At 50.2% G+C, this 24,272-nt stretch overlaps 1 pseudogene, besides 1 other annotated feature; it reads left to right on the top strand.

The window, feature by feature from the left end:
* Positions 13,670-14,606: an enhancer, noted in NCBI's record as "H3K27ac-H3K4me1 hESC enhancer chr20:46523130-46524066 (GRCh37/hg19 assembly coordinates)". NCBI's record gives its function as "activates a minimal SCP1, AML or CMV promoter by ChIP-STARR-seq in primed H9 embryonic stem cells {active_cell/tissue: H9 hESC(primed)}" and the evidence as "EXISTENCE:reporter gene assay evidence [ECO:0000049][PMID:30033119]".
* Positions 23,632-23,707, top strand: RNU7-92P (RNA, U7 small nuclear 92 pseudogene; annotated as a pseudogene).

Here is a 24,272-nt window from a genome sequence, read left to right on the forward strand (position 1 = left end):
AGCAGTGTGTCAGGCTAACCCGCAATAATGTGAGAAATTTAAAAAATAATTTGATTATTTTCCTTACCTCTGCCTCCCCAGTGAATGGGATGACGTGAAAAGTGTGATGGGGATGACTTCAGAGGCAAGGCTCCGTCTTCACAGAGAGAGGCCATGCAGCCTGGCTTCACCCAGTCAGACCACATCTGTGATTTTCTTGCTCTCCTTTTAGCCTGACACACTTTGTTTCTTCATTTCACTTTGATTTTTGAGATATAAATCGAAATCCACATACAATTCACACTTTAACAGTATAAAATTCAGTGTTTTTTAGTATTTGCAAGGTTGTGCAACCTTCAATATCAAATCCCAGAACATTATTATTGCCAAAAAGAAACCTTGTACCCATTAGCAGTCATTCTCCAACTGTCCTAGGGAATTACTAATTTATTTTCTGTCTCTATGGACTTGGCTGTTATGGACATTTCATAAATGGGACCATATACGATGTGATCTTTTGTGTCTGGCTTTTTTCACTTGCTATAATGTTCTCAAGGTTCATTCACATTGTAGCATGAATCAGCATTTCATTCCTTTTTATGCCTGAATAATATTCCATTGCATGGATAACTGTCATTTTTGTTTGTTTGTTTTATTATGTGTTTTTGAGACAGGGTCTTGCTCTGTCACCCAGTCTGGAGTACAGTAGCATAATCTCAGCTTGCTCCAACCTCCACCTCCTGGGTTCAAGCGATTCTCATGCCTCAGCCTCCTGAGTAGCTGGGATCACAGGCATATGCCACTACACCGTGCTAATTTTTGCACTTTTAGTAGAGATGGGGTTTCACCATGTTGTCCAGGTTGGTCTTGAACTCCTGGTATCAAGTGATCTGCCTACCTCGGCCTCCCAAAGTACTGGGATTACAGGCATGAACCACCACACCCAGCCTACTCTTTTGGTTTGAAGTGAGGAACAATTCAAGTTACCTTAAACAAACAAACAAAAGAATGTTAGGCCTCACGTCACTGAAGAGTCCAGAGGTGTGGTGGGCAGATTCCAGAATGATTCCCAATGACCCTTGTCCTTGAAAAGCCTCTTCCCCTTGAGTGTGGGTGGAGCTTGTGAATAGGCTACTACTCCTGTGACATCATATGACAACGGGGATTGTGCAGATCTAATTAAGGCTATTAGTCAATTGACTTTGAGGTAATCAGAAGGCAGATTAGCAGGTGGACCTGACCTAATCACACTAGCTGTTTGAATCTGGGCCTAGAGATCAGAGACAGAAGTTAGGAATTCATATCACAAGAGTGATTCAAAATGCCATTGACTTAAAAATGGAGGGGCCCAAATGCCAAAGACTCGGGAGGCCTCTAGGAGCCGAGAGTGGTTCCTGGCCAGAAGATGGGAATCTTGGAACCTTAGTCTTTTCATGTTTTGTTTTGTTTTGTTTTGTTTCTCTGCACCCCCATGTTTATTGCAGCACAACACACAATAGCCAAAATATGGAATCAACCTAAGCGCCTGTCAGTGGGTGAATGGATTTAAAAAAGTGTTCTATACACAATGGGTTATTATTCAGCCATAAACAAGAATGACATCCTGTCATTTGCAGCAACATGGATGGAGCTAGAGGCCATCACTTTAAGTGAAATAAGCCAAGCACAGAAAGACAAATATCACATATTCTCACTCCCATGTGGGAGCCACAAAGGTGAATCTCGTGAAGATAGAAAGTAGATTGGTGTCTACCAGAAGCTGGGAAGGGTAGGGGGTGGGGGCATGAAAAGAAGTTGATTAATGAGTATGAATCCAAAGTCAGATGGAAGAAATATTTAGTATTGTGTAGATCAGTAGGGTGACTACACTTTACAATAAACTATTGTACATTTCAGAATACCTAGAAGGGGGAGCCTTAGTCTTGTAACCAAATGGAATTAAATTGTGCCAACAACATGAACTAGCTTGGAAGCAGATTTTACCCCCAGAGCCAATAAGAACTCAATACCTTGTTCTCAGCCTTGTGAGACTTTGAGCAGAGCCCAGTACTGCTGGGCCGAACTTCTCACCTGCAGAATTATGGACTAATAAATGGGTGTTGTTTTGAGCCATTAAGTGCATGGCAATTTGACACAGGAATAGAAAACTAACACAAAAGGCCAGCTGCCTTCAGGTACTGCTGCATCCGGGTGCTCAGATGACATCAGGAGGCCTTCCTGTCTCTGCGTCTCTCCAGGCTCATTTGCTTAGACTTGTTGGTGCATTTGGAGGATGGCTCTCTCCTTGTGGTGATGACGCCTCCAGGAGCCCCTCTTCCTTCTCCCAGCTTACCTATCCCAGGGGAAAGGAAGCCTCCTTTGCCATTCATACAACAGCCCTTGGATAAAGTTTCATTTGAAGGGTGATTTTCACAAGCTCCTCCCTAAACCAATTGCCACAGCAAGGCTTAAGCCCTGGACTGAGCGAGCAGGGCTGGGTCCACCCCACCCATGGATGGAGAGCTGGGGAGGGGTCGCTTTTCCAAAGGGGACTCAGGACCCAGAAGGAGCAGCAGGTGCTGGGTGGGAAAACCAAGGGTGTCCCCCACACTCATGCATCTGTCTCTCCTGCAGCTCATGGGGCACAGCCTGCGCTACCTCCTCTGTCCTGGAGGACCCAGTGCCCATCCTCCATGGCTCCAGGATGGAGCTGGCCCTCCCACAGCCCTCACCATGGGCTGTGGAGGACAGGGTGTTGAAGGGACAACGATTCAGGTCCTGATCAGACATCCGGCTGGAGCCCTGACACTGGGCATCTCCTCATCCTCCTCGGCCATGACTGACTCTTCCTTGTCATTTCTGAGATGGTGGAAGGGAGACTTTGGAGCATCTGGGCAGGCCCTGGTGAAATGGCTCTACTCTAGACTTTTTGAAAAACTAAAAAATCACTTTAGGGTCTTAGAGAGCCATGCAAGGGAGAGACTTCAGTGTAGCTGGATGAAGACAAACTTGGGCACTTGGTTGTCCCTTCAGAGCTGGGTCTCGGAGCTTTCATGGAGTGCCCCGGGGAATACACAGGCTCAGGAGTCAGACCCCATGGGCTCAGGTCCCAGCTCTGCCTCTTACAGCGCTGCAACCTTGTATAAGTTACTTTAGCTGTGCCTCAGTTTCTTCATATGTAAAATGGATCTGATAATAATGCCCACCTGAAAGTGTGGGTGTGAGGATGAAATGAGCGAACATGTGCTTAGTGTGGTACATAGTGAGTGCCTGCTGAATGCACCTGCCATGATGCTGAGTGTGAGTGCCTGCTGAATGTGACCTGCCATGATGCTGAGTGTGAGTGCCTGCTGAATGCACCTGCCATGATGCTATCTGAGTGTGAGTGCCTGCTGAATGTGACCTGCCATGATGCTATCTGAGTGTGAGTGCCTGCTGAATGTGACCTGCCATGATGCTATCTGAGTGTGAGTGGCTGCTGAATGCACCTGCCATGATGCTGAGTGTGAGTGCCTGCTGAATGCACCTGCCATGATGCTATCTGAGTGTGAGTGCCTGCTGAATGTGACCTGCCATGATGCTATCTGAGGTGTGTGAGGATGAAATGAGCTAACATGTGCTTAGTGTGGCACATAGTGAGTGCCTGCTGAATGCGCCTGCCATGATGCTGAGTGTGAGTGCCTGCTGAATGCACCTGCCATGATGCTGAGTGTGAGTGCCTGCTGAATGTGACCTGCCACGATGCTGAGTGCACATTTCTGCTGAGATAGTTAATTCTTAGGTCCATTTCAAAGATCAGGAGCCTGTGACCAAATGTTCAGTACTTCTGGAAAACACTTCCATTTATGCTGTCTCTGAATTGGCAGCATTAGGAATGAAAGAGAGATAAATTAGATCATCCAAGATGATTGCTCTGAATGCCCTCCTCAGGAGCTCTTTACAGTGTTACCTCCTAATGTACACTGAAACCGTGCTTGGTGCTGTCCTAGCCAAGGCTAGGGAAAGAAGGGAACTAACCTCCTCAGTTATTGGCCTAAGCATCTCATAACCTACCAGGTAGGGCACAAGATGTTATATCTGTGCCGTTTCCTTTACTGTTACATCAACTTTTGCGGCATCACATGCATTTTGTGGATGAGTAAACTGAAGTCCAGGGAAGTTAAGTAACTTGCCCAAGGTCACCCAGAAAGTATCGGAGCTAGATTTGAATCTATGATGGTCTGCTTCCAAGGGCCAGAGGATTTCAGCTCTACATCAGTTTTATTTTTTCCCAGAGAAACAAGAGAGAAGCTGAGGGCACCATCTGCGGTGGATTCGGGCTGTGGGATTGCTGAATAGTGTCTACATTTGTATTAAGGAGTCATTTTGAGAGAACATTTCGAAGGCTCTCCAATCCATAGCACAGTGTTTTACCATCATTTGTCTCCAGGTGCATTGGGAACCATGTATTCACTCCAGGTGGTTTGAGAGGGAATGTGGCATTGCCCTTTCCTTGTTTCTCAGAATCCTTATTTCCTCTCCTCATTTTGCCCCTTTCTCCACAACGTTCTTTTCAAGACTTTGAGTTTGGGCAAGAATCGGGCAATAGGTTGCATTGTCAGGGGCTTAATGCCTCAGATTTTCTAAGGCAGTCCTGCTTGCCAACCTTCTGTTCCCGGCTCATTTCTGATCTGAGACCCAGGTTGTGTTGGTGGCTTTGGTGACTGCAGAACCACTGCTCTGGAGCCATTCACTCCACAGTGAGGTTGACACCCTGAGTCCCACAGGCCCCCTCTATTGCACCCACACTCTGTTGTGTTGGTGTGGCCAAAGAAGAGGAGGACAGAGAAGCTTCCCCAGAGATCTCTCCATGCTCCTCACAAGTGGTTTTTTTTTTGAGATGGAGTCTGTCACCCAGGCTGGAGTGGAGTGGCATGATCTTGGCTCACTGCAACCTCTGCCTTCTGGATTTAAGCAATTCTCCTGCCTCAGCCTCCCAAGTAGCTGGGATTGCAGGCGCCCGCCACCACGCCGGTTAATTTTTGTATTTTTAGTAGAGATGGGGTTTTGCCATGTTGACTAGGCTGGTCTTGAACTCTGACCTCAGGTGATCTGCCCGCCTCAGCCTCCCCAAGTGCTGGGATTACAGGTGTGAGCCACTGCTCCCGGCCACAAGTGTTCTTGGCTTTGTTTGTCTCTGCATTTGTCTCTGGGGAGGTATCACATTAACTTTCCATGTTTGTGGACTTGTACCTGTAATATGATTACAGTCTATACTTTCTAGAATTTTCTCAGATCCTCCATAGAACGACGTTTTTCGTGGCAGAGATTGTGTCTTCAGTGTGTCCCAACAGAGCTTGATCTGGAACCTCACCCAGAGTAAGCGTGGATTTGAAGCACCAGGGTCTTGGAGATCCTGGAGGGGCTTGGCCCTCTTAGCCAGGCCTGTGTGGTGGGGATGCCGAGGGGAGGAATGATGGATGGGAGAGATCACGTGACAGCACAGGACACTCTCCTGGGGCTAAAACAACTTCAGCGTCTGCTGTTGCAGTTTGGCCAGCCTGGTGGGGATGGAGGTTTGGTGGGAATTTTTTTGTAAGATTCATTAACCTTTTTCTCTTCTTGTTTCCCCCTTTTCTTTTCCTCCATTTTAAGCAGGCAGGCAGTCTTGCTAATGTCAGAAGTTAGGGTTTGGGGTGATGTGAAAGTTAAGGTTAATGTTTAGCAGATAGTCAATCCCCTCGCTCTCTGACTGTGGTTAAAGAACTCATCCCTGCCCCACTGACTTTGGGCTTGGCCATGTGACTTGCTTTGGCCAACAGAATATGAGCGCACATACTGTGAGCAGAGGCCGTGAGTGCACTGCCACGAGAAGCGTGTGTCCTGGGGAGCTGCTGCCTCTTGTGCCCGGGTCTAGAAGAAGTCATGTGTCGTCAATCCAAGCCCAACCCGTAGCCTGGAGCAGAGCTGCCCTTAGACCGCCCCAGATCATCCAAACCTTAGTCACCCTGCAGACTCCAAGTGTGAGGACAGAAGCTCGTGTTATAAGCCATTGAGTTTGGGCGATGGTTTGTTATGCAGCACCACTGTGACAACAGAAGACTGATATGGGTGGTGTCTGCTGGGAGGAACTGGGTGGCAACGGCAAGTGAATCGAAGAAGGCCGAAGTTATTGGCTTTTGCAAAATACTGAACCAGTGAAGAGATTTGCCCAAGTGTCCAGGAGGGTGGGAGCCTTTGGCCAGCAGCCAGGTGGGCCGAGCCTTCTGCAGAGCTGCGCAGGCTTGCTGACGCCTGTGTTTGGACAGTGGTGGAGACCTGGCTGATGCCTGTGTTTGGACAGTGGCGGAGACCTGGCTGAAGCCTGTGTTTGGACAGTGGCGGAGACCTGCATTGCGTTCCCTAGAGTGTCAGGGGTATTGCCAGTCTTGGGCCTCAGACAGAACAGCCTCTACTGCCTGAGGAACCCCTGTTTGCCAGGGATTGGTTTAAGCATCTCCTATGACCTTACTGTACCTCCTCAGCAGGTGGGTGCTGTCACTGGACAGATGAGGAAACTGAGGCATAGAGTGGTTAATCACTGCTCAGGGTTGCACAAGGGATAGGTGGCAACACGTGGCGTGGAGTCTAGGCAGTCCGCTTCTGGATGCTATGCTCATCGTCGCTACACTGCCCGCCCCAGTGCACCTGAGGGACTGCAAGGGCCGAGTGGCATCTCATGATAACCAGGGACTGAGAGCAGAAAGCTTGGCTTCCCTCATTCCCAACGTTAGACCCTGGCAAGGCCTGTGATGTGGACCTCTTCTCAAGTTGGGAGAGGAAGAATGGCTGAGATGGCATTTCCTAGCAGCCCAGGGGGACGGAGGCTGCAGTCACAATGCAGTGGACTTAAAGAAAAGAAAGAGACACAGCCTCTCTTACACCCCGGACTCAGCACAGATGTTCACCCTTGCAGCCCATGGCGTTGGATGGCAGGCTTGATGCCACCTGTCTGGCACAGGCAGCATTTCTGTTGGACTCAGGGACCACAGGCTCTAGGTCCCTGCAGGATCCTTGGACATCACTGGCCACAAAGAAGGGGTCTCCCAGATGTCACATGCAGGTGGCCTTGGGCTGGAGCCAGGGCCAGGGTCTGACCTGGAACTGCAGAAAGCAGTATGTCCTGAGCTTGCTGCTGACTCTGGGGAGGAGGCGCAGCTGGCCACGGAGCTGCCCTGAAGCCGTCGGAGGTGGGGGGACCACGTGGCTGGAGCACAAGATGCACATTTCCTGAGAATACTTTTTCCCCAACACTCCCATTGCTTCATTTTTAAACACCCCACTTAATTCATGTATAGATCTGAAATCACACTGAACGGGAATGTGAGTTTTCTGGGTTTGCCAAAAGGGGACCTGGGTTAGCAGCAGTGGCGAGGGGGCCTGGCCTTGCAGGGGTGAAGGTGAAGGTGTTGGTGAACTCAGCTTCCCTCCTGCATGTCTCGGGAAGATCATTTCCCGGCCCCCATGGTTGAGGAAGAGCAATAAAGAACCAAATCTCCTTTGAAAGGCATTTGACAACATTTAAACTCCGTCAGGCAGCCTAAGGATCATTTTCAATAAATTCATCTTGAGCTAAAGTTTCTGCCTTACTGAATTCATCTTTTGGGAGTGGGTGTTTGTCCCTGCTGCAGATAATTGTGACCCTGGATGGCAGGACCTATGTTCACTGTGAACCAACTTTTCTTGCGAGGGCCCCAAAGACCCCGAGTGTGAATCGCCCGAGTGGGTGGGGTCTCTTGCCCTGTGAGTCCTACTACCAGGGGCCCCATCCTTCCACCCACCTTCCCCCGGGTCTGTTTCCCTTGAGGTCTGAGCTGGGGTGCCCAGTGAGGGGTCATCCCTGCTGTGAGATAAAACCGAGGTGTGACTCCCCATCCCCATGCAGGGCCCTAGAGGTCATGCACGGCTTCAACCATCTGACCGAGGACGGATCTGACTCCCTGCTCAGGGCAGCAGCTCGTGGTTCATTCAGCCCCAGCGGCGTCTCGATGGGGGTAATGTAAGGGGCACAGAGAACCGAGGATTGGGTCTGATGGGATTAAACCCCCAACTGGTGTCCCTGTGTCTTCTCTTTCCTGACACCAGACACCAAGAAGAAACAGCCCCAAGCACATCCGTCAGTGCATTCCGAAGGGTGAGCTGGGGGCCAGGCGGCCTCTGAAGTCTCCACATGGGTTTTGAGCTTTTGCTTTTTTGCAGCAGCAAATCTGCTCTGGGCTGGGAATTGGTGTTTGCTAAATGCACAGGTGGTCTGGAGTGATGTTTTCCTTCTTTAGCAAAGTAACACATGCTCCTTACAGAGAGTTAGACATGCAAAGAGGCAGGCATGTTTTTTAAGGATAAGTTAAACATTCAGCAGGTTCTCGGGCACTGAGTGAAAGGTGTCCCCACAGGTCAGCCCCTCAGCCCCCCAGTTTCTTCTTGGAGAAGCCAGTGCAGGGCCCCGTGTTGGGGGCCGGTGGGTAGGAGGCTATCTCAAGACACCAGGAGGCGATTAGAGGGTCTCAGTCCATTTTGATACCTGTGCTCGGGAGTCGCTGGCTTGGACTGGACTCCTGGCAGCACCCAGTGAGAAAGGGACAAATCAGGCTGTGACTCTGGCCGTTTTCTCCTCTGCGACTATGATTCCTTTGCTGCACCCCCTCTTTCTGGCCCATCCGCAGAGCACAGACCTATCCTTGCCGGCTGACATTTCTCTGCTCCCTGAGGCTGAGTGTGCCCCCTGGGGATGCTCAGAGAGTGTCCCTGGATTTATTTCAGGGCCCTCACTTCTTGGAGGAGATGTCATTCCCTGCAGAGCTCCATTCACCTGCTCTGAACCCTCCTCATCCTGCCCAAGGACGTGCTCTCTGGTTTGGCTGGAAAGAATGACCCCACCATGCCAACTCTGGGATTCAGGCAAATCAGAGCTGCTGGGCCCAGGCTGCGTTGTCCAGCTGGCCCAGGTGTTTGTACTGAAACACAGCTGTGTGCCCACTGGTTGGTGCAGAGATGCTGTCTCTATCCCTATGGAGACCCTGTACTGGCACCCCAAGATACAGCAGCACAAGGGGCACAATTGCTGGCCCAGCAGAAACCTGGGGACCCTACACTCGAGCTACGGTCAGTGTCCACGATGACTGGCCAGCTGCCAAGTGAACAAGGACAGAGGCGTGGGCAGACGTGCTGTGGCCTCTCAGTGCTGGGTGTGTGAGTGGCCGGAGAGGGCGTCTAGATGCCCCAGGTGTCTTCACACCCAGAACTGGGTCTGCCAGACCCTGATGGCCCCGAGAGTCCTGACCAGACCCCCGAAGGCCAACCCAACATGCTGGGAATGACCATTGGTGCCAAGCGGGCCCTGGGCAGCTGGGGAAGGGCTGTCACCTCAAATGTCCCACTACCTGGCTCCTCCTCTTTCCTCAGGGACCCGAATCTGCCCGCTGGGCACAGGTCCTCACACAAAGCCTGGTCCAGGAAAAACAGGACCACATTGCCAGGCGGCCTGTCCTTCCCCTCCCCACAATCTGTGCTCTAATTACAGAAATGACAGGCTCATGGCCAGAGACGCCAAGTAACAGAGAAAGAGAATAAAGTAGAAAATAAGAATCATTCCCCAACCTACCCCCACACGGAGCTAGCTGCATTTTAAATAACTAAGCTTCTTGATTGTGTCTGTGTGGAGGCCTGAGTTCCTATAACCGAGGCTGTTTTCTCTTTTTTTTTTTTTTTGAGACAGAGTCTCACTTTCTCACCCAGGCTGGAGTGCAGCTGCCCGATATTGCGACCTCTACCTCCTGGGTTCAAGTGATTCTTGTGCCTCAGCTGGGCACCACCATGCCTGCTCATTTTTGTATTTTTAGTAGAGACGGGGGTTTCACCATGTTGGCCAGGCTGGTCTGGAACTCCTGACCTCAGGTCATCTGCCCACCTCAGCCTCCCAAAGTGCTGGGATTACAGGCATGAGCCACCGTGCCCGGCCTTGTCTGTTTTCTCTTCATGAGTGCCCGGTGTCAACGGGAGAAGCAGCACTGGCCTGAGCCTCTAAGCCAAAGCGTCCGGGCACAGCTGGGGACAGGCAACATGGACCCGGTCACTGTGGTCCTAATGGTAGATTGTGGTCCTGGTTGGCATAGGCAGCTCATCACGGTCTCACCTGTAGCTGCTTTATGGAAGGTCTGAATTGGATAGGAGCAGAAAACAGCTTCATTGTTCTCTAGCCGCTGCATTCCAGCAGCTTCTGTGAGGCAGGGGCCAGATTAGGGTGAGTGAGTGAGGCCAAGTCATGCAAATACAGGGTCATATTGTGTCTTAGTTGAAATGTTGTTAACTTTCCCATTAGGGTTTTTTTTTTTTTTGCATTGAATTTAACTTTTTAAAAAAATTCTGCACTAAAATATTATTTATTTTGATCCTGAATTTTTTGGTGCCCCCTTAAATTTTATGCCTCACTTGCTGCACCCTGATAATCCAGAGATGAGCGCCTCCCTCCCCTGCCTCGCCCTAGTCCCCATCCTGCTGATAGGTCTCTGGTCTCTGCTCCTTGATGACATCTGGGGAAGTTTTCCTAGGATTTTGGTCACCTTGATTTATAATAGCAGACTTGCTAATAATGAGTGGAATATGGCCAGGCGCCGGCTCATGTCTGTAATCCCAGCACTTTGGGAGGCCAAGGTGGGCAGATCACTTGAGGTCAGGAGTTCGAGACCAGCATGGTCAACATGGTGAAACCCTGTCTCTACTGAAAATACAAAGATTAGCTGGGTCTAGTGATGGGCGCCCGTAATCCCAGCTACTCAGGAGGCTGAGGCAGGAGAATCACTTGAACCTGGGAGGCGGAGGCTGCAGTGAGCTGAGATCATGCCACTGCACTCCAGCCTGGGAGACAGAGCAAGACTCTGTCTCAAAAAAAACAAAAACAAAAATGAATGGAATAGCTCATGTTTCGGTGTTACAAAATCCAGGCCAGACAAGTCTCAACTTTAATCTCACGCCCAGTTCCTAGGTTAGTCCCTTCTCCAGCTCAAATTCAGCCTAAGCCTCAGGGGTCCTTGGTCGGGGTGGCACCACCTGCTCCCTTCCCCAACTTTGTTCCTGTTTTTAATCTGCTGGGGCTGGGTGCATTCAGAGGTAGGGACAGGCTGAAGGTCTTCGGCTTTTTGGTTCTGTTGATGGGTGAGTTCCAAATACTAGCTTTCTCTTGTAGGATATTTCATTTATTTGTTAAAAATATTTATTTAGAACACACCATTCATGTGCCAGACGCTATTCCAGCCACTGGGGATAGGGTGATAAATGAGATAAACAAAAATACTCGCCCACGTTAAGCTCCTATTCTAGGGAAGAGAGGAAAAAAAAGAAAATACATGTGTACTTAGTACATTAGAAGGTTCCAAGTACTGTTAAAAAAAATAAAGCAGGCTGGACTCAGTGACTCATGTCTGCAATCCCAGAATTTTGGGAGGTGTAGGTGGGCAGATTGCCTGAGCTCAGGAGTTCGAGACCAGCCTGGGCAACACAAAAAAACCCTGTCTCTACAAAACAAAAACAAAACATTTAGCTGGGTGGACAGATTGCTTGAGCTCAGGAGTTCGAGACCAGCCTGGGCAACACAACAAAACCCTGTCTCTACAAAACAAAAACAAAACATTTAGCTGGGTGTGGTGGCATGTGCCTCTGGTCCCAGCCACTGGGGAGGCTGAAGTGGGAGGACTACTTGAGCCTGGGATGCAGAGGTTGGAGTAAGCCAAGATCACAACATTGCACTCCAGCCTGGGTGACAGAGTCAGACCCTGTCTCAAAAAAACAAAACAAAACAAAAAAAAAAACAGGAAAAAGAAAGCAGAGATGGGGACTAGTGGGGAGGGGGCTGGGGATGAGAGCCTCCCTGAGCTTCCACAGTTCTTCCTGCCCCTCTCCTATCTCACTGGGCACGGGCCACCTGGGGCTTCTGGTTGTTTTGTGCCAACTTAATATGTTGTTCTTGCCAACAGTCGGAGGCCAACTGAGGCTTCTCTGTCTTCCACAAGGAACAGCATTGGCCTAAACCTGCAGGCACCATTGCAAAGGGGAGTCAGCTCAGGTAAACCTGCTGGTGAAGCATGATTCCAGCGTGGGGACACAGAGGCTGATGTATCTTGCTGTAGGTGATTTAATGTTGGGCCTCACTATTTCACTACCCCTGTAAGAGTATGACACATCCACGTCCTTACCAGGGCCCGAGGGAGGGTGGATAGACTTATCCATCCCATAGGTATTGCTCGTGGCTGGGTAACTTGCTTATGCCAACAAGATTTTCATAGACACGGCACAGGCAGAAGCCTGGAATGTGTTGGCACTGCCAGGCCTGCCCTCTAATGCTCTTGATTTTTCCCACGAGACGAGCGTGCCCCAGGGAACTTCGGCTCCAGCTGCAGGATGAGAGGCGTGTGGAGCACGCAGGGTTCCAACCCTCAGCCTGGAGTCAAGCCCAGACTAGATCAGCCTAAGCCCAGCCAAGCCACGGGTGCAGGAGTGAAAAGCAAACGCTAACTGTCCATGACATTGACTTTCAAAGGGGCATGTCATGTTATGTGGCTCATCCCAGCAACAATGAAGATATTTCTCCATCAGTCAGTCGGTGAATAATTATTGACAATGTGCTAGGAAGGTGGAGTGATTGGAGTAGATTTGGTCCCTATTCTCATGGAGCTTACTTTCTAGAGGGGAAGACAGATGATAGGTGAATAAATATAAATTATTCTATTAGGTTGATGCAGCAGTAATTCCGGCTTTTGCCAGTAAAGGTAATGGCAATCAAAAGCGGGAGGAGCCGGAGCTGCCATTCATTAAAAGCAATGACAAAACTGTGATGACTTTTGCACCAACCTAATAGAATAAATTACGAGTGCGCAAAACGCTGTGATGGGAAAGTTCCAAGTGCCAGGATAGCATCTAGCTTCCTGGAGTCAGGAGATGGGGGTTTTCAACCTAAGCAAGGTTAAGTCCAAGTGGTGGGGGCAGGCGGGGGGCGATATTTCAGGGGAGACTCCAAGGATGAATGGAAATTAGAAAAGTGAACGCAGATGGTGAGGGGGGACGGGTTTCAGGCACAGAGAACAGCATGTGCAAAGGCCTGGGGGGAGGACATCGTGTGTTCATGGACTGAGGGGCGGCCAGCAGGCTGGAGCTGAGCCGGTGGAGAGGAGGATGGGGAGCCGGGGAAAGGCGCTCCATGCAGGGGGCACAGCAGGGGCAAAGGCCCGGAGTCAGGCCTGAACCTGTGTGGTTTGAGGAAGTGACAGAGGCCTGTCTGGGAGGAAAGTAACAGCAGAGGGGAGACCATAAGGTCAGGGCAGAGGGCAGGGCCGTGCTGGGCACTGTGGGCTGTGGATAGGACCTGGCACGTATGCTCGGGTGAGGGGAACGTGTTAGAAGATTTTAAGAAGGGCAGGAACATCTGGGGATAATGTGTATTCTAGGAATCTCAACCAAGTAAATTCATAGTTTGAATGTTCACAAGACTTCTGCACAGGCAAAGTGAAAGATCGTTTCTAGAGCTGTGAGATAAGATCATAGTAAAAAAGAACTACTAAGTTTTTAAAGGTTATTTCAAATGATGGATTTCCATCTTACAAATGAATGCAAGCAGGTTGCAAGGTTGATGGAAAGTAGAAAAGTTTTCTGACTTGCGTGAACAGAAAAGAAACATCAATTTGAAAGGAAAACATTTATTTATTTACTTCCTCTACAGTTTTCCTGACTGCTACATTTCATGAGAAGGGATTGTTTATGAGGGTCAAGGAGCTGGAGGCCTGGGGAGGAGCTGGTGTTTCTGTTCAAGTTTGAGGGTCCTGGAGCTGGAGTCCAGGGGAGGAGCCGGTGCTGCCACTGATGTCTTAGGGTCGTGGAGCTGAAGATCCCAGAGGAGCCGGTGCTGCTATTCTAGCTTGAGTTTCGTGGAGCTGGAGACCCAGGGAGAAGATGGTGCTGCTGTTCTAATTTAAGGATCGTGAAACAGAAGACCCAGAAAGGAGCTGGTGCTGCCGCTGCTCAGATCTGAGGGTGTTGGAGCTGGAGACTTAGGGAGGAGACGTCTTGTTCTAGTTTCAGGGTCGTGGAGCTGCAGACTGAGGCAGGAGCATTGTTGTTATAGTTCGAGGGTCAGAAAGCTGGCGACCCAGGGAGGAGAGGTCTTGTTCTGGTCTGAGGGTCGTGGAGCTGCAGACCCAGGGAGGAGCAATTTTGTTGTAGTTCGAGGGTCAGGAAGCTGGCGACCCAGGGAGGAGAGGTCTTCTTCTGGTGTGAGGGTCGTGGAGCTGCAGACGCAGGGAGGAGCAATTTTGTTGTAGTTCGACGGTCAGGAAGCTGGCGACCCAGGGAGAGGTCTTGTACTAGTCTGAGGGTCGTGGAGCTGCAGACCCAGGGAGGGGCAATGTTGTTGTAATTCGAGGGTCTGGCAGCTGGCAACTCGGGGAGGAGAAGTCTTGTTGGAGTTTGAGGGTCGTGGAGCTGCCAACCCAGGGAGGAGCAATTTTGTTGTAGTTCAAGGGTCCGGAAGCTGGCGACCCAGGGAGGAGAGGTCTTGTTCTATTGTGAGGGTCGTGGAGCTGCCGACCCAGGGAGGAGCAATTTTGTTGTAATTTGAGGGTCCGGAAGCTGGCGACCCAGGGAGGAGAGGTCTTGATCCGGTCTGAGGGTCGTGGAGCTACAGACCCAGGGTGGAGCAATGTTGTTGTAGTTCGAGGGTCTGGTAGCTGGCAACTTGGGGAAGACAAGTCTTGTTCGAGTTCGAGGGTCGTGGAGCTGCAGACCCAGGGAGGAGCCATTTTGTTGTAGTTCAAGGGTCCGGAAACTGGCGACCCAGGGAGGAGAGGTCTTGTTCTAGTTTCAGGGTCGTGGAGCTTCTGACCCAGGGAGGAGCATTGTTGTTTTAGTTCGAGGGTCAGGAAGCTGGCGACCCAGGGAGGAGAGGTCTTGTTCTGGTTTGAGGGTCGTGGAGCCGCAGACCCAGGGAGGAGCAATGTTGATGTAAGTTGAAGGTCCGGTAGCTGGCACCCTGGGGAGGAGAAGTCTTGTTCGAGTTTGAGGGTCGTGGAGCTGCCGACCCAGGGAGGAGCAATTTTGTTGTCGTTCGAGTGTCAGGAAGCTGGCGACTCAGGTAGGAGAAATTTTGTTCTAGTTTCAGGGTTGTGGAGCTGCAGACCCAGGGAGGAGCAAGGTTGTTGTAATTCGAGGGTCAGGAAGCTGGCGACCCAGGGAGGAGAGGTCTTGTTCTGGTCTGAGGGTCATGGACCTGCAGACCCAGGGAGGAGCAGTGTTGTTGTAGTTTGAAGGTCAGGAAGCTGGCGGCCCAGGGAGGAGAGGTCTTGTTCTAGTTTGAGGGTCGTGGAGCTGCAGACCCAGGGAGGAGCCATGTTGGTTTGAATGTTGTGGATCTGGAGATCCACGGAGGAGCTGGTGCTGCCTTTGAAGTCTGAGAGTCACTGAGCTGGAGATCCAGAGAGGAACCGGTGTTGCTGTTCTAGTCTGAACAGATCTAGAGTTCTGGGGAGTTGCCGGTTCTGCCTCTCAAGTCTGAGAGTTGTTGAGCTGGAGATTCAGGGAGGAGCCTGTGTTGCTGTTGTAGTTTGAGGGTCATGGAGCTGCAGACTCAGGGAGGAGGGGTGCGGTTCTAGTCTGAGGGTTGTGGAGCTTGAGACACAGGGAGGAGCTGGTGCTGCTGTTGTTTAAGGCTGAGGGTTGTGGTGCTGGAGACCCAGGTAAGAGCTGGTGCTGCTGTTGTTTAAGGCTGAGGGTTGTGTAGCTGGACAGTGGGGAGGAGGTAGTCTTAGTGTCTAATGTGAGGTTGGTGGAGCTGTGGACCTGGGGTGGGGCCGGTGCTACTGTGTAGTTTGAGGGTCATGGAACTGGAGACCTAGGGAGGAGCTGGTGCTACCACCATTTAAGTCAGAGGGTCATGGATCTGGAGCTTTGGGGAACAGCCCATGCTGCTGTTTAACTGTGGGGAGGATGTGCTGTGTCCATTGAAGTTTGAGGGTTTGGGAGCTGGAGACCCAGGGAGGAGCTGATGATGCCATTCTATTTTGAGGGTCGTGGATCTGGGGACCTGGGGAGAGGCTGGTACTGCTGTTGTAGTTTGAGGTTCGTGGAACTGGAGACAGGGGGAGGAGCCGGTGGTGCTGTTCATGTCTGAGGGTTGTAGAGCTGGAGACCCAGGGAGAAGCCCGTACTACAGCTTTTTAAGTCTGAGGGTCGTGGAGCCTGAGACCTGGGGAGAGGCCAGTGCTGCTGTTCAAATGGCTCCTTTCCGGGTCTCCAGCTCCATGACCTTTAAACTAGGAGAGCAGCAGCAGCTCCTCCCGGGGTCTTCCAGCTCCATGACCCTCACACTAGAACAGCAGCAGCAGCTCCTCCCGGGGTCTTCCAGCTCCATGACCCTCACACTAGAACAGCAGCACCGGCTCCACCCTGGGTCTCCAGATCCACGACCCTCAAAGTAGAACAGCAGCACTGACTCCTCCCCGGGTCTCCAGCTCTACAACCCTCAGACTTGAGGAGCTGGAGACTCGGGGAGGAGCCAGGGCTGCTTTTCTACTTTGAGGATTGTGGAGCTGGAGACCCAAGATGCAGCAGCTGCTGCTATTCTAGTTTGAGGGCCTTGGAGCCAGAAACTTTGTGAGGAGCCGGTGCTGCCTTTCAAATCTGAGAGTCATTGAGCTGGAGACCCAGGGAGGAACCGGTGTTGCTGTTCTAGCCTGACGGTAGTGAAGCTGGAGACCAAAGGAGGAGCTGGTGCTGCTATTCTAGTTTGAGGTTAGTGGAGCTGGAGATCACAGGAAGAGCCGGTGCTGCTGTTTAAATCTGTGGGTCCCCGAGCTGGAGCCCTGGGGGGAGATGGTGTTGTTCTTGTTCAAGTCTGAGGGTCATGGGGCTTGAGGCACAGGGAGGAGCTGCTGCTGTTCAAGACTGAGGGTCGTGTAGCTGGAGAGCGGGGAGGAGGTAGTCTTGGTGTCTCGTATGAGGGTGGTGGAGTTGTGGACCTGGGGAGGAGCCGGTGCTGCTGTGTAGTTTGAGGGTTGTGGAACTGGAGACCTAGGGAGGAGCCGGTGCTACTGCCATTTAAGTCAGAGGGTCGTGGATCTGGAGCTTTTGGGAACGGCCCGTGCTGCTGTTTAACTGTGGGGAGCATCCGGTGTGTCAATTGAAGTTTGAGGGTTTGGGAGCTGGAGACCCAGGAGGGATCCGATGATGCCATTCTATTTTGAGGGTCATGGATCTGGAGACCTGGGGAGAGGCCGGTACTGCTGTTGTAGTTTGAGGGTCGTGGAAGTGGAGACAAGGGTAGGAGCTGGTGCTTCTGCTGTTTATGTCTGAGGATTGTAGAGCTGGAGACCCAGGGAGGAACTGGTGTTGCTGTTCTAGTCTGAGGGTAGTGAAGCTGGAGACCCAAGGAGGAGCCGGTGCTATTATTGTTCATGTCTGAGGATTGTGTAGCTGGAGACCCAGGGAGGAGTCGGAGCTGCTGATCTAGTTTGAAGGCTGTGGAGCTGCAGATCCCAGGAAGAGCCGGTGCTGCCGTTCAAATCTGTGGGTCTTGGAGTTGGAGCCCTGGGGTGACCCAGTTCTTTCATTCATGTCTTAGGATCATGGAACTGGAAACCTACGGAGGCGGCGGTACTGCTGTTCTAGTTTAAGGATCGTGAAGCTGGAGACCTGGACAGGAGCTGGTGCTACCGCTGTTCAAATCTGAGGGTCATGGAGCTGGAGTCTTGGGGAGGTGCCGGTGCTGCCTCTCAAGTCTGAGGGTTGTTGAGCTGGAGATTCAGGGAGGAGCCGGTGTTGCTGTTGTTGTTGGAGGATTGTGGAGCTGGAGGCCAAAGAGGAGCTGGTGTTGCAGTTCAATTTTGACGGTCGTGTAGCTGGAGACCTAGGGAGGAGCTGGTGCTACCACTGTGTAAGTTGAGGTTTGCAGAGCTGGTGGCCACGGGGAAGAGCCAGTGCTATAGCTGAAGTTTGAGGGAACTGGAGACCCAGGGAGTAGCCGGTGCTGCTTTCTAGTTTGAGGGTTGTGGAGCTGGAGGCTTGGTGGGGAGCCGGTGCCGCCTCCCAAGTCTGAGAGTCATTGAGCTGGAGATCCACAGGGGAGCTGGTGCTGCTGTTGTAGTTTGAGGATTGTGGAGCTGGAGACCCGGGGCGGAGCTGGTGCTGCAGTTGGAGTTTGAGGGTCAGGGAGCTGGAGATCTGGGGAGCGGCCAGTACAGCTGTTTAAGCCTGAGGGTCGTGGAGCTAAACATGGAGCCAAAGTTGGGGAAGCAGAGAGAGAGAGTTACAGGATGACCCTGGAAATGGTAGACGTAGCTGTACCCCAAGCAAGCTAAGCTTGGGAACTCCTCAATGCTAGTGATGAATGCATTCTTTTTCCTCTTACACAGTTTGGATTTGTTTTCTGTGTCTCATGAGACAGAAAGATCTTGATTAATACCCTTAGGAATTGAAAAGCTTAAAAAACTAAAGGATGTTGGTAATAAAAATAATAAGAATTAAACCATGATTATCCTGGCTGACAGAGACAAAATCACACACACACAATATATATCTTTCAATCAGTTAGCAAAATTAAAAAAAATGGAAAAATAGACGCAAGCAAAGCTATAAAAAGTTGTTTCATGGAGAAGCGATGGAGGACAGCGATTAATCTGAGAGTTGCTATTAATGGAGAAACTGAGAACTTACCATTTTTCCCATGAGGTTTTGGTGTAGAATGATATTGTGTGAGTTCTGGCAGCTGAGTCACTTCACACAGCCCGGTGATGCAGTAGGTGTCACAGAAGGACCCTCTCCCAGTTAGTTCTGCCTCACTGCTCCGGTGAGTGCGGCCTCTGATCCCCAACAGCTGACTGTGTGTTGAGACCACGCCCATGAGCACAAGGGTTTCCACGGTGAAGGTTCCTGGATGGAACACTGTGGATGTCCCTAATGTTCCTTCCTGATGTTCATCTGCCATCTTGCTATTTAATGCAATGTCTTCTAAATATTGAATAGAAAAAAGTATTTGTACAATATGGGCAAGGTATAAAGAATATCCACACACTGGACACACAGACAGAGAGGGGCACCCACAGCAAACTCCCTTTGCCTGGGAGCAGGTGTGGTCCTTGAGTCCTATGTTGCCTGTTTCTTCCTCCGCCTTGGCCTACGGGCCCGATGTGATCTGACCTCTGCCTGCCTCTCCGACTCCATCCCCCCTCCCGCTCCTGTTCTTTCTAACAATTATGTTACAGCCTCAGTGAATGTGACAAGGACCCTGAATGACGGTGGCTTTACTAAGACAGAGGTTCATTCCTTTCACATGAAAGTCCAAGCCAGTCGGGTCATTCTTCTCTGTGCATTTTTCAGGGTCTTAGGCTACTTCCATCTTGCTGCTCTGACTTCCTTAGGGTATAGCTTCCCCCACAGTGTCCATCCTATCTACTGCCAGCCAGCAGGGAGGGGAGAAGAGAACAAGAGGACACAAATCTTCCTTCCTCTAATGGCAGTTGCTGTGCACTGGCCTCATGTGCATTGGTCACTGCCTGGTCACGTGGCCACTGCTTGCTGCTAGGGGTGCTGGGAAGTTTTCATCCTGGATGCCAGTGCCCACCTGGGTGACTCCTGAGGTTGAGGGGAGAGAGGACATGAAAGAGAGTCACTGGCTCTTCCCACCATCATGCATGTCGTTCCAGTCTAGGGCGACCCACTGCCTCAGCTTGCTCAGGACTGAGGAGGGTCATGGGGCACAGACCTCTCAGTTTTATAACAGGGCAGTTTCAGGCAAATCATCCCAGCTTGGCTGAGACTCAGAATTTTCCTGGGATATGGGATTTCTAGTGTTAAAACTGAGAAAGTTCTGGGCAAACCTGGACAAGTTGGTGCCTGCCATGGGGCCTTTGCATCTACTGTTACCCCTGTCTGGGATTCCCTTTCTGCAGCTCTGTGTGGTGCTCACTCCTTTTCTGTTGAGGAAAGGCTGCTCTCTGGGTGTCCCCGGGTGCCTGTTCCGCTCTACTCAGCACTACATGCTCTGTGAATATCCCTCCATGCACTTCGTAGAATGAGATCTGTTCTTTCCACCCTTGCCTGCCCACTTCAGTTTCAAAGTCTCTGAGGATTATTCATTTTTATTCTCTTCAGCACTGAAAGATACATCTCTTTCCCTAAGGCTGTGGCTGGGTTCACGCATAGTTAGATAAATCTGATATTAATAATAACCCGAATGAAAAACATGTATTGAATCCCAAGATTATGATGTAGGAAGCACGGATTCTGAAGAGATGTCTAAGCCTAATAAAGGCCAAAGGGTGTGGATTAAAAGGAAATGTGGGGTGGAGAAACATTTCATGAAATAGAACCCCACCTCTTGGGTGAGTTCGTTGGTACAACTTTTCTAGAGGGCAATTTTGCAACTGGCCAATGAAGGTGAGTAACTTTTGGTCCCAAATTTCATTTATAGGCATTGATCCCTAGGAAATAGTCAGAAAAATATGCAAAGATGAATCTCAAGGATTTTTATAAGAAGAAAGAAGTAGGAAGCATAAATGCCCACTGGTGGTCCCACACCCTGGCACCAGTGCTCCCCTCTCCTAGTGGGCGGGCACAGGCTACATTTTCCCAGGCTTCCTTGCAGTGAGTTGTGGCCATGTGACCAGGTTCTGGCCAATGGGAGGCAATAAAAGTGTTGGGTGGTATTTTTGGAGACCCCCTTCTGTAACTTCTGTCTTGATATGGTTTGGATGTTGGTCCCCTCCAAATCTCATGTTGAAATGTGATCCCTGATGTTGGAGGTGGGGCCTGGTGGGAGGTGTTTTGGTGATGTGGGCAGATCCCTCTCACAATGGCTTGGTGCCATCCTGATGGCAATGACTGAATTCTTGCTCTGAGTTTATGGGAGATCTGGTTGTTTAAAGGGGTTGGCACATCCTCCTCCCTCTCTTGCTCTTTCTCTCGCCATGTGATGTACCTGCTTCCCTTTCACCTTCTGCCATGATTGGAAGCTTCCTGAGGCCTCCCCAGGAGCAGATGCTGGTGCCATGCTTGTACAGCCTGCAGAACTGTGAGCCAATTAAACCTCTCTTCTATAAATAACCAGCCTCAGGTATTCCTTTATAGCAACGCAGATGGACTGACACATATCTTTAATGTCATTTCTTAGTTGTTCCATCCTTTGACCTGCTTCCTGGAATAAGCGTATGATGGTTGGAGCTATTCTTGTCACCTTGAACCTTGAGGATTAGGCTTCTACCCTGCGGATAGCAGAATGTCCTCTGGAAGGAAATGAAAGTCCCTAACGCCACCCTAGACTGAGAACCTCCAGTTTTGTTTTTACTTTTTTATTTTTTGAGACAGACTCTTGCTCTGTTGCCCAGGCTGGAATGCAATGGCGTGATCTCAGCTCACTGCAACTTCCGCTTCCTGGGTTCAAGTGATTCTCATGCCTCAGCCTCCCGAATAGCTGGGATTACGGGTGCGTGCCACCATATTTAGCTAATTTTTTTTATTTTTAGTAGAGACAGGGTTTCACCATGTTGAGCAGGCTAGTCTCGAACTCATGACCTCAAGTGAAACACCTCAGCCTCCCAAAGTGCTGGGATTACAGGCGTGAGCCTCTGTGCCCGGCCCAGTCTTGGTTTTCATGAGATAAACTTCTGTCTTGGCTGAAGTTAAATCACTGATAGGTGATATGACCATAACTGGATAAAAAGTAGGAAATTCATGTAATACTTATATCTACATATGCCCATACCAAAAATGATAGTGATCTGTTGTTATCTATGTGTAAATATGGACACAAAATATTGTTTAGTGTAAACAAAGCTCTTCTTTTTTTTTTTTTTTTTTGAGACAGAGTCTCACTCTGTTGTGCAGGCTGGAGTGCAATGGTGAGATCTCGGCTCACTGCAACTTCCGCCTCCTGGGTTCAAACAATTCTCCTGCCTCAGCCTTCTGAGTAGCTGAGATTACAGGCACATGCACCACATCCAGCTATTTTTTTGTATTTTTAGTAGAGCTAGGGTTTCACCATGTTGTCCAAGCTGGTCTCAAACTCCTGACCTTCAGTGATCCGCCTGTGTTTACAGGCATGAACCACTGCACCTGGCCCATAAAGCTTTATTCTATTTTAATGAAGCAAAAATGCATAAGTGTGTAAGTGTGATCATATGTGTGTGTATGTCTAACAGGAGCACTACATAGCAAAATGCGAATGCTGCTTATCTTTGGTGTTGGTATCACGTGTGATTTAAAATCTTTTCTTCTATTTTTAAAAACTTTCAAAATGAGTCATGACTTTGATTATTAGAAAAGAAATCTATAACAATTGAGAGGAAAGAAAACCCCACCTGTTGTTGAAACTGGCTGGAGCTGGGAGAAATGAGAGATTCCTTTGCAGGTGTCACCTCCCTACCAGAAAATTGGCCTTGCAGGAATGTCCCACAAGCCAGATGTGTCTCTTTCCCCCAGTCCCTGTGCCTGGTGTGAGGTCGTACAGACAGTGAGCATCCTTCACAGAGTCTGACCTGCCAAGGTAGGGGGGAAGTGGGGGTTTAGTGACATTCAAAACCCGGGGGAGCCGAACAGGTGTGACTGTATGTTTGCAGGGTGACCTCTCCCCTCAAAGAGCAAGAAATAACTCTAGTGCAATTTCCAAACATTTACAAGAGAGGATTTTTAAACTTTTCACTTCTTTATTGCAACTAGCACATTTGGAAGGATAAAATACAGAAAGAAGTCCTGCTATTTACAATCAACTTTCACTAAGCCAGTGTTATATTCAAAAACAGCAGATAAAGCTCATGGCTTTGATGAAAGGGGCAGTCTTTTCATTGGAAACAATTAATACTGCTCCCCGTTCTGGGGAGAATTTAAAGAAAATAATTTGGAAGGGGATATGGCTTGATACAATCAAATGATTTCAGATCACAAATGTAATCATTTGATCTTGCTTTAAAACCAAACATTTCAGAACAATCTAGCATCACATTCTCTTCTGAGTCTGTGAAACTCTGAATTCTGGGTGAGTCTGAATTCCCAAGGCAGGACTGAGGATAGAAAAGATTTGATGGCAGAAACCTGGTACTGTGGTTATCACGTGGGTTAAAGATGTAGGCTTGGTTAACCCACTGAACCTGCTTATGTATGAGGCTCACCTGAGAAGGTGATATGGACAAGCCCATCTTATGGGTCTGAGGGCTCTTCACCAGGAGTGGAGCAAGGAGGATGGCCCCAGCGTCCCCGTCTCTGAACACGTTTAGCGGGAGGGCTGTAGAGCCTGGACAGATCACCACTGGCTCCATGGGGAACTTTCAGCAGCACTCATTGCCTGTGTCTATTCTGTGCCAGGCACTGCGCTCAGGGCAGGGATTTGGGATTCACCAGGGCACAAGGCGACGTGCGTCTGTCCTCACGGAGCCTAAGTGCTGGTGGAGACGGACAGTGCAGATGCCAACCGCAAATGACGAGGCACTTGCAGGTAGGGGTCAGCGCCAAGAAGGAAATGAAGGGTGCGTGTCGCTGACTGAGACTCTGGTGGGAGCTACTTAAATAGGGCCATGGGGGAGGGCCTCTCTGAGGAGGTGACATTTGAGCTGAGGCCTCACCAATCAGAAGGAAAAAGCTGTAAAGGGTCTGGGATTAACTCAACCTGGGGACTTTTAAAATAATGTAAGGTGTTACAGCTCTTTTAGAATTTGTCTAGCACGTTTTCCGGTTGTCACTCCCAGGTGGGCTCGGGAAGAGGCATCTGTGCCAGCTCGTGGCCTGTTCTTTGCACTTGTGGGGAAGGGGTCCCCTTTTCCCACAGCCGTCCCCCCGGGGCCTGCTCCCAGGTGGGGTCTGGTTTTCACCAGAAAGCCCTCCATGCAAAAACAAAAAACAAAAAACAAAAAAAACCCACCACACAATTGAATTTGAATTAGTTGCCAGCATTTACATTTTAATTCTAAAAATCTGTATTTTCGACTTCGTTGGAAAGTCAGACTATCTGGCCAGGCTGGGCTGGGATCTGGTGGAGTTCAGTATTTTGGTTTCTGGTTAGGGAGGGTATTTGGGGTTTGCCCCTCCAGCATCTGTTCCAGTGTGAAGTGGGGGTGGAGGCCCAGGCTCAGTGGGGGGATCTGCAGTGGCCAAGGGTCTTGGCTGTCTCCAGATGGCCGGATGGACGCTGCCCCCTCCTGCTTGGGGTGTGCTGGGGTTCTTTGCTGCCCCTCCTCCCAGCCCACAGCCTCTTGAACTCCACGGAGACCACCCCCATGTGAGGCTGGGAAGGGAAACCTGCCTTTGTAAGTGGAATCAGGTGAAATCGGGCT

Source organism: Homo sapiens, chromosome 20 (assembly GCF_000001405.40).
Source record: "Homo sapiens chromosome 20, GRCh38.p14 Primary Assembly".
In the NCBI taxonomy this organism is placed as follows: Eukaryota; Metazoa; Chordata; class Mammalia; order Primates; family Hominidae; genus Homo; species Homo sapiens.